This window comes from Homo sapiens, chromosome 22, assembly GCF_000001405.40.
Source record: "Homo sapiens chromosome 22, GRCh38.p14 Primary Assembly".
In the NCBI taxonomy this organism is placed as follows: domain Eukaryota; kingdom Metazoa; phylum Chordata; class Mammalia; order Primates; family Hominidae; genus Homo; species Homo sapiens.
In genome coordinates, this window is record NC_000022.11 from 38,467,948 (window position 1) to 38,482,010 (window position 14,063).

At 50.7% G+C, this 14,063-nt stretch overlaps 1 protein-coding gene across 2 annotated transcripts in view, besides 1 other annotated feature; it reads left to right on the plus strand.

Annotated features, from left to right (window-relative positions):
• Positions 1 to 230: a silencer, noted in NCBI's record as "silent region_13720". NCBI's record gives its function as "represses an Ori minimal core promoter by ATAC-STARR-seq in GM12878 lymphoblastoid cells {active_cell/tissue: GM12878}" and the evidence as "EXISTENCE:reporter gene assay evidence [ECO:0000049][PMID:35858748]".
• The window catches only part of KDELR3 (KDEL endoplasmic reticulum protein retention receptor 3), a 15,352-nt gene continuing 1,437 nt past the window's right edge, over positions 149 to 14,063 (plus strand). Inside the window, exons 1-4 of one of the 2 annotated variants that reach the window (NM_006855.4) lie at positions 149 to 377; positions 6,576 to 6,676; positions 11,646 to 11,804; positions 13,265 to 13,517. In NM_006855.4, coding sequence (NP_006846.1) covers positions 287 to 377; positions 6,576 to 6,676; positions 11,646 to 11,804; positions 13,265 to 13,517 — 604 coding nt within the window. In that variant the 5' untranslated portion in view covers positions 149 to 286. Of the gene's footprint in view, positions 378 to 6,575; positions 6,677 to 11,645; positions 11,805 to 13,264; positions 13,689 to 14,063 lie in introns of those variants that run through there. The other variant, NM_016657.3, reaches the window with a different exon arrangement.

Here is a 14,063-nt window from a genome sequence, read left to right on the forward strand (position 1 = left end):
GGGCCGCCCAGTCCGGGAGCCGGGCGCTGGGATGGGCGGGAGGCGGGATCTCCGGGCCGCGCCGCTTCCTGGCTCCCCACCCTGCGCCGGCGGCCGCCCTGGCCACGTCACCGCCCGGCCAAGAGTGCGTGGGCGGCGGCGCGCGGGTGCGATCGCGGAGCTGTGAGGCGCAGGCAGGGCTCTGGGGCACCTAGAGACCGGGGCCGGAGACGTGGCAGCCGCCCTGCCCGCCAGAAAGTTTCCTAGAAGTTTGCTGGGCGCGGGCGCACGACTGACTGGCTGGACCATGAACGTGTTCCGAATCCTCGGCGACCTGAGCCACCTCCTGGCCATGATCTTGCTGCTGGGGAAGATCTGGAGGTCCAAGTGCTGCAAGGGTGAGGGGCGCCTGGCAGGGAGGTGCGGGACCCCCTCTCTGGCCAGCCTCATGCCCCTGCGTGCAGGGCAGGGCGCTCCAGGTGTCTGCTCAGGGTGGGGACTCCGGCGTGGGGGTCCTTGAAACTTTGCGGAGCTCCACTTCCAAAAACAATGTAAAGTTGTATAAAATCAGAGGAGGAGGACCCCTCGAGATGATGGGAGGCGGGTGGGTTTGTTCCTGCACAGACGCCCCCTCAGGTTGGCAGTGTCACTGCTGGTTGGAAGAGGGGGTTATAAGGGAGGTGACAACCCCTCCCTCCCACCAGTTACACCCATTGTTCCTTCCACCATCGACTGTGGGGAGAAGCAGATATGCACTCAGGAACGGCCCACGATTCTCAAGGTCTTCTCTTCCCTGCCCCTTCCCAGACCCCACCCCGCCCCCCAAAGTGAGCCCTCGTCCCTCCCCTGCCTGCATGTGTGGCACCGGTGGCTGTGATGTGGCAGGAGGGCACCAGCCGGGCTCAGGCGGGTATGGAGCTGCCTCTAAACGGAAGCCGGGGAAGGCTGGAGGGGTCCCCTGTTTGCATTCTGGCTGCCCTGCTGGGGGTTTGGAGAAGCTTGGAGGCTGGACTCGCGGTCGCCAACAGATCCAGAGCCACGAAAGGCTGCCAGAGCCTCCTCCAGCCATCTTTGTCCACCGGCATCCTCGTGGTGCCCTCCCTGTGCCTGGCACTGGGTGTGCAGAGGCAGGAGTGAGCTCAGGCTCCTCGTGGGGCTGAGGAGGCTGAGAAGGCTGAGAGTGGGCCCCGAAGGCCCTGTGGAAGGAGCAGCTCCGTGCTGGTCCCGGAGGACGAGCAGGTGTCAATCCAGGAAGTGTGTGCTGTGGAGGGCTCCGGGGATGAAGAGGCATGGAGGTCACCAAGCACCGGGCATCCCCCGGGAAGGGTGGGCAGCCAGATTTGGGGTGGTCTGGAGGGAGATGAGTCCAGGAGGGAGGCTGGTCCAGATGTGAAAGGGCCTTTTCTGCCAGGCCAGGGAGTTGGGTCTGGGGAGCCCTTCATGGTTTGGGAGCCGGGAAGGGGCCTGGAAGGGGGCCTGAACAGGTTGCTTTGCAAGCTTTGAGAGAAAAGGCACAGAGCAGGGGGAGGCCTGGCAGGGTGGGGGTTGGTGCAGACATGAGCAACAGTACGGTGTGGAGGGAGTGGTTCTAGGCCTGGAGGCCATTTGGGTTTGGGGTCTCTGGAGAGACAGGTACAGAGACAGTTCAGGTTCTTCCTCAGGGGAGGTGGCCAGGAATGCTGAGTGGGGGACCCGGAGCAGCAGGCCCTGGTGAGGGGAGAATCAGCTCCAACCTCTTCCTGCACTTTTGCAGAAGGCCCTGCACGGAGTGAGCAACCATGACCAAGAGGGGACACTGGTACCTGGCCGCTGTCTGCCAGACACTGCTGGGCACCTAGAATACAGCCCGGACAGCAGAGGCCCAGCCCTGGTGGAGCTGACTTTCTTTTATTTATTTTTTATTTTTATTTTTTAACAGAGTTTCGCTTTGTCCCTGAAGCTGAAGTACTGTGGTGTGATCTCGGCTCACTGCAACCTCCACCTCCCAGGTTCAAGCGATTCTCCTGCCTCAGCCTCCTGAGTAGCTGGGATTACAGGCACGCACCACCACACCCGGCTAATTTTTGTATTTTTAGTAGAGACGGGGTTTCGCCATGTTGGCCAGGCTGGTCTTGAACGCCTGACCTCAGGTGATTCACCCACCTCGGCCTCCGAAAGTGCTGGTGCTGGGATTGTAGGCGTGGGCCACTGCGCCCACTTCTTTTTTTTTTTTTTTGAGACAGAGTTTTGTTCTATCCCCTAGGCTGGAGTGCAGTGGCGCAATCTCGGCTCACTGCAACCTCTGCCTCCCAGGTTCAAGCTATTCTCCTGCTTCAGCCTTCCAAGTAGCTGGGATTACAGACGCCCGCCATCACACTCAGCTAATTTTTGTATTTTTAGTAGAGACGGGGTTTCGCCATATTGGCCAGGCTGGTCTCGAACTCCTGGGCTCGAGTCACAGGTGTGAGCCACCATGCCCGGCCAAGTGGTGGACCTGACTTTCTAGTGGTAGGAAGCCATCAATAAACAATAGTCCTAGGAAACTGAGCAAATGACACGGTTTGTTGGAGGCCATAGTGAGTACTATGGGAACAGAAAAAGGGCAGCTGGGTGGCAGGGATGGGCCTGTGTGTGCACAGAGAGAAGTCAGAGGTGATGGAGGCAGGGCCTGGTATGACCTCAACAGACCCAGCCCCAAAGACCAGAGACTTGGGCTTCACTCTCACTCCTCCCCTTGACTCGCTGTGTGACCCTGGGCCTGTGTTTTCCCATTTGTCAAATGGGAGTGAGGGCTGCCCCTGGCAGTGGGGTCCACCTATGCTTAGTGGACCCCGGAGGGACTCTGGCCAGTCCAGGCTCACATTGTCCTCTGTGTCCCGGGTCTCCATGTGCAGCTTCCTGGTGGAAATGATTGTTTTCAAAAGTGTGAAAACTATTGTGCTCAAGATCACCGGGGGGCTGGGCACAGTGGCTCACACCTGTAATCCCAGCACTTTGGGATGCCAAGGCGGGTAGATCACATGAGGTCAGGAGTTCAAGACCAGCCTGGCACGTGGCGAAACCCCGTCTCCACTAAAAATACAAAAAAATTATCTGAGTATGGTGGCAGGTGCCTGTAATCCCAGCTACTCATGAGGCTGAGGCAGGAGAATCGCTTGAACCTGGGAGGCGGAGGTTGCAGTGAGCTGAGATTGCACCATTGCACTCCAGCCTGGGCAACAAGAGCAGAACTCTGTCTCAAACAAACAAACAAGCAAAACAAAACTGAAGATCACAAGGGTTCCCAAAGTGCTAAGGAAAATGTGAGTAAAACCCAGGGGACTGGCAGGCTGAGGATGAAGAGAAAAGAGGGGTAGGGGAAGGCCCAAGCGGGTGACCAAGCGTCCCCCACCAGGGCTGCCTCCCAGGCAGTCCTTCGTGGGGCTGAGGGCTTCTCTGTCAAAGTCTGTGTGAGGGCTCAGTGAGATGAACATCAGGCCATCCCAGAGCTGGCCTCAGGTCAGTATGGCCTCCCCCAGTGGGGTTCATTACCCACTGCCAGCCCCACTGTTGCCCTCACCCCGGCTAGTGCACGTGCGCGCGTGCTAGACCCCCCAGAGGGACTCAGGTTCTCACTGAGCACTGTGTATTCCTCAGCTCAGTCCTGCCACTCTGCATGAGGGGCCGTTTGGCAGGTGAGGAATGTGAGACCGAGGCTCGCCCTAAAGCCAGCACATTCTCCAGAATGTTAGGGACTTCAGGGGTGTTCCTTCTTGCTCATTAAAAATGTTCCCCCAGGCTGGGTGCAGTGGCTTACCCATGTAATCCCAGCACTTTGGGAAGCTGAGGCAGGAGGATCACCTGAGCCCAGGAATTTGAGACCAGCTTGGGCAACATGGCAAAATCTTGTCTCTAGAAAAAATATAAAAATTAGCTGGGCATGGTAGCATGTGCCTGTAGTCCCAGCTACTCAGGAGGCTAAGGTAGGGGGGTCATCCGAGCCTGGGAGGTTGAGGCTGCAGTGATCTGTGATTGTGTCACTGCACTCCAGCCTGGGTGACAGAGTGAGACCCTGCCTCACAAAAAAAGAAAAAAAAATGTTCTCCCACCCCAAATGTCTGGAACCAGAGGGATGGTTAGAGAAGGCACAGTTCAGGGGTACAGGGGAACCAGACCCTGAATTAGACAGCACAGTAGTTCCCCCTTATCCACGGAGGATATGTTCCAAGACTGCCAGTGGATGCCTGAAACCACGGGTTAAACCAAACCCTATATATATACTGTTTCTTCCATCTGATAACCAAGACTGCTGTCCGGGCACAGTGGCTTACGCCTGTAATCCCAGCACTTTGGGAGGCCGAAGTGGGCAGTCACTTGAGGTCAGGAGTTCGAGACCAGCCTGGCCAACACGGTGAAAACCCATCTCTACTAAAAACACAAAAATTAGCCGGGCATGATGGTGGGCGCCTGTAATCCCAGCCACCCGGGAGGCTGAGGCAGGAGAATGACTTGAACCCGGGAGGCAGACGTTGCAGTGAGTCGAGATCGCACCACTGCACTCCAGCCTGGGTGACAGAGTGAGACTCTGTCTCAAAAAATAAATAAATAAATAAAAAGTGGCCAAAGGACACTAAGGAGCATGACAACAAAATGCAGCATGGATTCCGGGATGGAATCCAGGAATGGAAAAAGGGCAGCAGTGGGAAAACTGGTGAAATCAGAATAAAGCCTGGAGTTCAGTCAACAGTGCTCTACTGATGTTGATTTCTTTGTTTTGATAAAGTACTGTCACTAAATACGATGTTTTTTTGTTTTGTTTTGTTTTGTTTTTTAAGACAGAGTTTTGCTCTTGTTGCCCAGGCTGGAGTGCAATGGCACGATCTCGGCTCACTGCAACCTCCACCTCCTGGGTTCAAGCGATTCTCCTGCCTCAGCCTCCCAAGTAGCTGGGGTTACAGGCATGAGCCACCACACCTGGCTAATTTTGTATTTTTTAGTGGAGATGGGGTTTCTCCAAGTTGGTCAGGCTTGGTCTCAAACTCCCAACCTCAGGTGATCTGCCCGCCTCGGCCTCCCAAAGTGTTGGATTACAGGCATGAGCCACCGCCCCCGGCCCAAATACGATGTTAACACTAGATATAGCTGGATATGTGGGATTCTCTGTACTGTCTTTACAACTCTGTTGTAAATCTAACATTCTTTCAAAATAAAAAGTTAAAAAAAGAAAGAGACCAAAGTGGGTCAAGAAACAGCATTTAGACTGGGCGCGGTGGCTCACGCCTATAATCCCAACACTGAGAGAATGAGGTAGGAGGATCACTTGGGCCCAGGAGTTTGAGACCAGGCTGGGCGACATAGTGAAACTCTGTCTCTACAAAAATAATAATAATAATAATTAATAATAAAATTTGCCAGTCTGATGGTTTGTGTCTGTAGTTACCAGCTACTCGGGAGGCTGAGATAGGAGAATTGTTTGAGTCCAGGAGATAGAGGCTGCAGTGAGCTATGATTGCACCACTGCACCCCAGCCTGGGAGACAGAGTAAGACCCTTTCTCTAAAAAGAAAAAAATAAAAAAGAAAGAAACATCATGGAGAGTATGAACCCTTTTTTGTCAACTCAGTGCATCCATGTGCATCATATGTGTACACATAGGTGTCATGTGTGTACATGTTCACAAAGATATGGAAGGATGAACACTAGGGGTTTGGAATATTTTTATCTTTGCATCTTTGTATATTGTTTGATTTTTGTTTTGCAAAGAGTAAATATAGGCATAACTTTTGTAACTAGAAAAAAGGCTTTTTGGCTGGGCGTGGTGGGTCATGCCTGTAATCCCAGCACTTTGGGAGGCCAAGGCGGGCAGATCACTTGAAGTCAGAAGTTTGAGACCAGCCATGACCAACCTGGCGAAACTCCGTCTCTACTAAAAATTCAAAAATTAGCCAGGCGTGGTGGCAGGCACCTGTAATCCCAGCTACTTCGGAGGCTGAGGCAGGAGAATCACTTGAACCCAGGAGGCAGAGGTTGTGGTGAGCCGAGATCACGCCACTGCACTCCAGCCTGGGCAACAGAGTGAGACTCCATCTCAAAAAAAGAAAAAAGAAAAAAGAAAAAAGGCTTTTTAAATCTTACAGTTTGAAAAATAAAATAGAATGCTCCCCTGGCCCTGAACCTTCCTCTGCCTGCTCTGGTCTCCCTGGTGAATCAACACCTTGTAAAGTCAGTGAGTTGTTCCTCCTAAGACTGAGCTTTGGGGACTGTCAGTGGAACTCTGGGGGTGGAGTGAAGAGAAGCCTCAACAACCCCCACCAAGCCCGACTCACACCACCCCCGACATCCTCCCCAGAGCAAGAGCCCAGGCAGGCACACGCAGGGGGACTGGGAACTCGGTGTTCGTGTCTTTATTTGGAGACTGGGAGACAGATTACAGTTTAATGAGAGGAACGACGACTCAAGTGATCCGATGGGAAGGGTGAGTTTCCTGGCCCTTAGGGAGCGACAGTGCCCTGGACAGGAGGTCTTTGAGTGGGAGTGGACACTCTAGAGGCCTCCCCAGCTCCAGGCTGTGCACCTCTTGAGGGTGGGCAGGCTTGGGAGTCTGTGTCCTCATTGTCTCCTGTCTACCCTTGGCCACAGGCATCTCTGGGAAGAGCCAGATCCTGTTTGCTCTCGTCTTCACCACCAGGTACCTGGACCTGTTCACCAACTTCATCTCCATCTACAACACAGTAATGAAGGTGAGGGGCTGGGTGATGATGGTTGGGGGAAGCCACCAAGCCCCCACAAACTGTGAGGTAGCCTGCTTGGAAACTCATTCTGTGGAGCCAGGCCGACCTGGGTTTGAATCCTGACTTTGCTGCTTAGTGGCTGCAAGACCTCATCTTGGGCCTCTTTGTATGTCAGTGTCCTCGTGCAAAAATGAGGACAGGGCTGGGCACTGTGGCTCATGCCTGTAATCCCAGCAATTTGGGAGGCCGAGTCGGGCGGATGGAGACCATCCTGGCTAACAAGGTGAAACCCTGTCTCTACTAAAAATACAAAAAATTAGCCGGGCGTGGTGGCTCATGCCTGCAGTCCCAGCTACTCAGGAGGCTGAGGCAGGAGAGTTGCTTGAACTTGGGAGGCGGAGGTTGCAGTGAGCCGAGATCGCGCCACTGCACTCCACCCTGGGTGACAGAGTGAGACTCTGTCTCAAAAAAAAAAAAAAAAAAAAAAAAAAGACAGTACCATTACTTAGCTCAGAGGGTTTGGTTGGGAACATTAAATGAGATAATAAATGTAAATGTAAAAAACCCTGCCATATATTAAACATTCAATAAAGGGTCACACCTGTAATCCCAGCACTTTGGGAGGCCAAGGCGAGAGGACCGCTTGAGCTCAGGAGTCTGAGACCAGCCTGGGCAATGCAGTGAGACTCCGCCTCTACATAAAATTTAAGAAATTTAGCTGGGCGTAGTGGTGCTCATCTGTGGTCCCAGCTACTCAGGAGGCTGAGGTGGGACAATCACCTGATCTTGGTAGATCAAGGCTGCAGTGAGCCATGATCATGCCACTGTACTCCAGTCTGGGCAACAGAGTGAGATCCCGTCTCAAGAAAAAAAAAATTATTTAGGTGATAGAGAAGGATTAGAGAGCTACTTCAGGGAGTGTGGTCAGGGCATCTTCAAAGAGATGACATGTAAGCTGACAGCTTAGTGACAACAAGGAACCAGCCATGTAAAGATCAAAGGACACACCTTCTTTCTGTTTTTTTAAGACGGAGTCTCACTGTTTTCTGTTGCCCAGGCTGGAGTGCAGCAGCGCAATCTCAGCTCACTGCAGCCTCCACCTCCTGGTTTCAAGCCGGGAGCTTGCCTTGTGCCTCAGCCTCCCAAGTAGCTGGGACTACAGGCATGTGCCACCATGTCCAGCTAATTTTTGTATTTTTAGGAGAGACAGGGTTTCTCCATGTTGGCCAGGCTGGTCTCACGCTCCTGACCTCAAGTGGTCCACCCACCTCGACCTCCCAAAGTGCTGGGATTATGGGTGTGAGCCACCATGCCCAGCCAAGATGTAGATTTTAGTTGGACACATTATCTAATAGGAATCTTATTTCTTGTGCAGTGGTGCGATCATGGCTCACTGCCTCAACTTCCCGGGCTGAAGGGGTCCTCCCACCTCAGACTCCTGAGTAGCTGGGACTACAGGCACGCACCACCATGCCTGGCTAATTTTTTTGTATTTTTAATAGAGACAAGATTTCACCATGTTGCCCAGGCTGGTCTCAAACCCCTGGGCTCAAGTGATCTGCCTGTGTCAGTCTCCCGAAGTTCTGGAATTACCATGATCAGCTAGGAGTCTTTTTTTTTTTTGAGACGGAGTCTCGCTCTGTCGCCCAGGCTGGAGTGCAGTGGGGCAATCTCGGCTCACTGCAAGCTCCGCCTCCCGGGTTCACGCCATTCTCCTGCCTCAGCCTCCCGAGTAGCTGGGACTACAGGCGCCTGCCACTGCGCCCAGCTAAGTTTTGTATTTTTAGTAGAGACAGGGTTTCACCTTATTAGCCAGGATGGTCTCGATCTCCTGACCTTGTTATCTGCCCGCCTCGGCCTCCCGAAGTGCTGGGATTACAGGTGTGAGCCATTGCGCCCGGCCAGGAGTCTTCTTTTTTGTTGTTGTTGAAATGGAGTCTTGCACTGTGGCTCAGGCTGGGGTGCAGTGGTGCAATCTCGGCTCACTGCAACCTCTGCCTCCTGGATTCAAGCAATTCTCCTACCTCAGCCTCCAGAGTAGCTGGGATTACAGGCACCCACCACCACGCCCGGCTACTTTTTGTATTTTTTGATAGAGACGGGGTTTCACTATGTTGGCCAGGCTGGTCTCAAACTCCTGACCTCGTGATCTGCCCACCTTGGCCCCCCAAAGTGTTGGAATTACAGGCGTGAGCCACCACACCTGGCCCCCCCTTTTTTTTTTTTTTTTGAGACAGAGTGGAGTGCAGTGGCACGATCTTGGCTCACTGCAGTCTCTGCTCCCGGGTTCAAGTTATTTATTTATTTATTGTTTAGACAGAATCTAGCTCTGTCGCCCAGGGTGGAGTGCAGTGGCGCGATCTCGGCTCATTGCAACCTCCACCTCCCAAGTTCAAGAGATTCTGCCTCAGCCTCCCGAGTAGCTGGGATTACAGATGTGTGCCACCATGCCTGGCTAACTTTTTTTTTTTTTTTTTTGTATTTTTAATAAAGACGGGGTTTCACCATGTTAGCCAGGATGGTCTCCTGACCTCGTGATCTGCCCACCTCGGCCTCCCAAAGTGTTGGGATTACAGGCATTAGCCACCATGCCCAGTCTTTTTTATTTTGAGACAGTCTCCCTCTGTTGCCCAGGCTGGAGTGCAGTGGTGTGATCTCGGCTCATTGCAACCTCCGCCTCCCAGGTTCAAGCGAATTCTCCTGCCTCAGCCTCCTGAGTAGCTGGGATTACAGGTGCACACCACCATGCCTGGCTAATTTTTGTATTTTTAGTAGAGACGGGGTTTCACTATGTTGGCCGGGCTGGTCTCGAACTCCTGACCTCGTGATCCACCCTCCTCGGCCTCCCAAAGTGCTGGGATTACAGGCGAGAGCCACCGTGCCTGGCCTAGGAATCTTATTTCTAAGGAACAAGGGTTCCATGGGGGAATTCTATCTTGCAGGGCTATTGAGAAGATCACATGAGATAACATACAGCACCTAGAAAATATTTAACTAAAGTGAGTTGTCCTTTTCTTCCATATCAGAGACATCCCTTTGGGATTTCAGGCATGTTGTTACTAGTTGGTAGAGTGGAGGTTGCTGTTACTTGTGAGGTGTTGAACTCATTCAGATTTAGTGAATGTGAATCTGAGGACTGGAAATCACCGTCTACTTAAGTTCACACATGTATCAAACATCACCTGCTAGTTCATTTCTCAGCCCAAGTCAGCCTTGGGCATTCCTGGCAGAGACAGCAGACTCAGCCCTTGCCATAGCTGAATGAGGTCTAGGAAGCTCAAAGAGGCTAGTTTCTACATTTATGAAATGAAAAAGTGACCACCTCATTCACTCATTCCAGCATTTGTTTTGTGCCAGGGACTGAGTTAGGAGCTGGGGATTAGGAGGTGGACCTTGCCACGGAGTCCTCTCTTAGAGGGGAGATGGACTTGTACCTAGACATTTACAGAGCATGTGATCACGGGCTAAAATGAGTATGTTCACATGGAGCTATGGCGACAGAATGTGTGCCTCATTGTAGTGAAAAAAAGACTGCTTCGAGGAAATAACTCCAAATAGGAGTACAAATAGGAGTGCTCTAGGCCAGTGTGGTCCTGCTCCGGCAGTATCAGCGTCACTTGGGAAACTTGTTAGAAATACAAACTTTTAAGGCTGGGCTCGGTGGCTCATGCCTATAATCCCAGCACTTTGGGAGGCCGAGGCGGGCGGATCACCTGAGGTGAGGAGTTCGAGACAAGCCTGACCAACATGGTGAAACTAAAAATATAAAAATTAGCCGGGCATGGTGGTGCACGCCTGTAATCCCAGCTACTCAGGAGGCTGAGGCAGGAGAATCACTTGAATCCAGGAGGCGGAGGTTGCAGTGAGACAAGACTGCACCACTGCACTCCAGCCTGGGCGACAGAGCGAGACTCCATCTCAAAAAAAAAAAAAAAAAGGAAGAACAAACTTTCAGGCCCATCCAGACCTATGAAATCAAAAGCTCTTGGGGCAAGGGAAGAGACAGCATCTGTGATTTTTTTTTTTTTTTTTTTTTTTTTTTTTTGAGACAGAGTCTCACTCTTATCCCCCAGGCTGGAGTACAATGGCATGATCTCGGCTCACTGCAACCTCTGCCTCCCGGGTTCAAGCGATTCTCCTGCCTCAGCCTCCCAGGTAGCTGGGATTACAGGCGCCCGCATGCATGCCTGGCTAGTTTTTTTATTTTTAGTAGAAACAGGGTTTCACCATGTTGGCCAGGCTGGTCTCAAACTCTTGACCTCAGGTGATCTGCCCACCTTGGCCTCCCAAGGTGCTGGGATTACAGGTGTGAGCCTCCACACCCAGGCAGCATCTGTGTTTTGATGCACACTCATTTGAGAAGTGCTGGCCTGGAAGGTTGGAGGCCATATCAAAATGAAATCATTATATGCCAGAGGACAGCTACTGTGATTAGGAGAGCTTTTCTGAAGGAGCAATGGTCAGTTAGTTCAAGGGATGTTAGCAGGCCATAAGTAGTCCCAGCTTCTAGGGAGGCTGGAGCAGGAGGATCACTCGACCCCAGGGTTTGAGGCCAGACTGGGCAACATTTAAAAAAAAAAAGGCTAGTCCTTGTGGAAGAATGCTCAGAAGTCACTGATGCATATCCAGGAAATTGTTTTAAAATTGTTTCAAGAGCCCTGGAATGCCTCTGGTAAATCCCCTGAAATAGACCAATCCTGTTTCACCTAATGCTCCACAAATGAAGGGGACGACAAGGGCACCTTTGTTCATGGCAGCACTGTCAGTCCCAGTATAGAAGCATGGAGTTATTTAATGAAAGGGTCACTGATTTCAAATTCTAGGCAACTGGACCCAAGATAAATTGCAAACACATTTAACCTCTTCATGTTACATTATGGCAGAACACTGACCCTTAGGTTTGGTAGGCTAGGAGCGTAGTAAATAGGCCGGGAAATGACTTCATAGATTCGATTCCCATGTCTCTCTCCCCTTTTAGGTGGTTTTTCTCCTCTGTGCCTATGTTACAGTGTACATGATATATGGGAAATTCCGTAAAACTTTTGACAGTGAGAATGACACATTCCGCCTGGAGTTTCTTCTGGTCCCAGTCATTGGCCTTTCCTTCCTTGAAAACTACAGTTTCACTCTGCTGGAGGTAAGGGAATGGACTGAGTACCAGTTCTCAAAGGGAAATATGCTCCCTGCATCCTTCCCTCCAGACCCTGGGCTTGCCTTCTGCTTACAACTGTGACCATTACTCATGTATCTTTCAGTTATAAGTTGAGAAGAAATTGACAAGCTATTTACAATGCTTTAGTTGGAAATGAGCACATCTCAATAGTCATGATGCCCATAAACCAAGCAGGCATCACAGCCCTACTTCTGGCTGTTGAGACGTTCTGTTCAACCGATTAGCAGATCCCTGTATCCCTGTAGCACAGTCCAGGCCCAGAAATTTCAACTCAGTAAGTTTGGACTGTGGCCCATGAATCTGCAGGCAACAAGCATCATGGGAGATTCTGATGCTGGTGTTTATGGACATGACTAATTTTTTATTATTTTTTTGAGATGGAGTCTCACTCTGTTGCCCAGGCTGGAGTGCAGTGGCAGGATCTCAGCTCACTGCAACCTCTGCCTCCTGGGTTCAGGTGATTCTCCTGTCTCAGCTTCCCAAGTAACTGGGATTATAGGCACGAGCCACCACACTCAGCTAATTTTTGTATTTTTAGTTGAGACGGGGTTTCACCATGTTGGCCAGGCTGGTCTCCAACTCCTGACCTCAAGTGATCCACCCACCTCGGCCTCCCAAAGTTCTCGGATTATAGGTGTGAGCCTGGCAACATGACTAGATTTTAAGAAACTGTGGCTTCAATTATGATTTTATACTATGAAACTATCATTTAAGTTATTTTTGGCCGGGCACGGTGGCTCATGAGGTCAGGAGATCGAGACCATCCTGGCTAACACAGTGAAACCCTGTCTCTACTGAAAAATAGAAAAAAAAAAATTAGCCGAGCGTGGTGGCAGGCGCCTGTAGTCTCAGCTACTCGGGAGGCTGAGACAGGAGAATGGAGTGAACCCAGGAGGTGGAGCTTGCAGTGAGCCGAGATCGCACCACTGCACTCCAGCCTGGGAGACAGAGCGAGACTCCATCTCAAAAAAATAAATAAAAAAGTTATTTTTGGCTGGGTGTAGTGGCACATGCCTGTATGTAGTCCCAGCTACTAAGGAAGGTGAGATGGAAAGATCACTTGAGCCCAGGAGTTTGAGACTGCAGCAAGCTATGATCATGCCACTGCACTCCAGCCTGGGTGACAACAGCAAGACCCTATCTTAAAAAAAAAAAAATTAAAAGTAGTTTTCTATATAAATGCTCACGCTACACTGTGAAAAAAGCAGTGTACTGTATAATCTTTCAAAAATTAGAAAAAAAAACCCTTATATTTACCTAGAGATGGTAGGTTAAACTGATTAAAATATTATAATTTTTATTGAGAACTTTTTCCCTCCTTACTGTACCTTCTCCAGCAAGCTATTGTTTTAGTAATTATGTTCTTTTAAGATGGGCCTCTTCTTGGTCTTGCTCAGTCTCTGGTTGCTTTCTCTTTGGCTCAGATCCTCTGGACTTTCTCTATCTATCTGGAATCAGTGGCTATCCTGCCCCAGCTCTTCATGATCAGCAAGACTGGAGAGGCTGAGACCATAACTACTCACTACCTGTTCTTTCTGGGTCTGTACCGGGCACTCTACCTGGCTAACTGGATCAGGCGGTACCAGACTGAGAATTTCTATGACCAAATTGCAGTCGTGTCTGGAGTAGTACAAACCATCTTCTACTGTGACTTCTTCTACTTGTATGTGACCAAAGGTAGGTCCTGGGATGACAGCAATGCTGACACTGGCCTAAGGAGTTACTCATCCATTTAATAAGTATTCCAGCAGATACAGATGTGAACAGTCAAGTCTCTGCCATCCACAATGCTTGTGTTCTAATGCAAGAAGACAAATATTTTCAATAAAGAAACAAATGCCATAAAAACATGCAGGCCAATAGGTTATGTGTACTATGCAAGACAGCTGTGAGATGACATTTGACAGAATACTTGGTTAGTAGTGAAAAACATTCCAGAACTTATTACAAGCCCCAAGGCAACCACCAGCTTGGTGTGATGGACAAAAAGCCTAGTGGGGTCAAAATCTATAAACCTGGAGATGAGTCAACCAAGACCAGTTCACATAGGGCAGGGGTGTCCAACCTTTTGGCTGCCCTGGCCCACACTGAAGAATTGTCGTGGGCCACACATAAAATACACTGATAGCTTATGAGCAAAAACAAACAAAAAGACACTTCATATGTTTTAAGAAAGTTTACAAATTCGTGTTGGGCCACAAAGCCATCCTGAGCCGCGGGTTG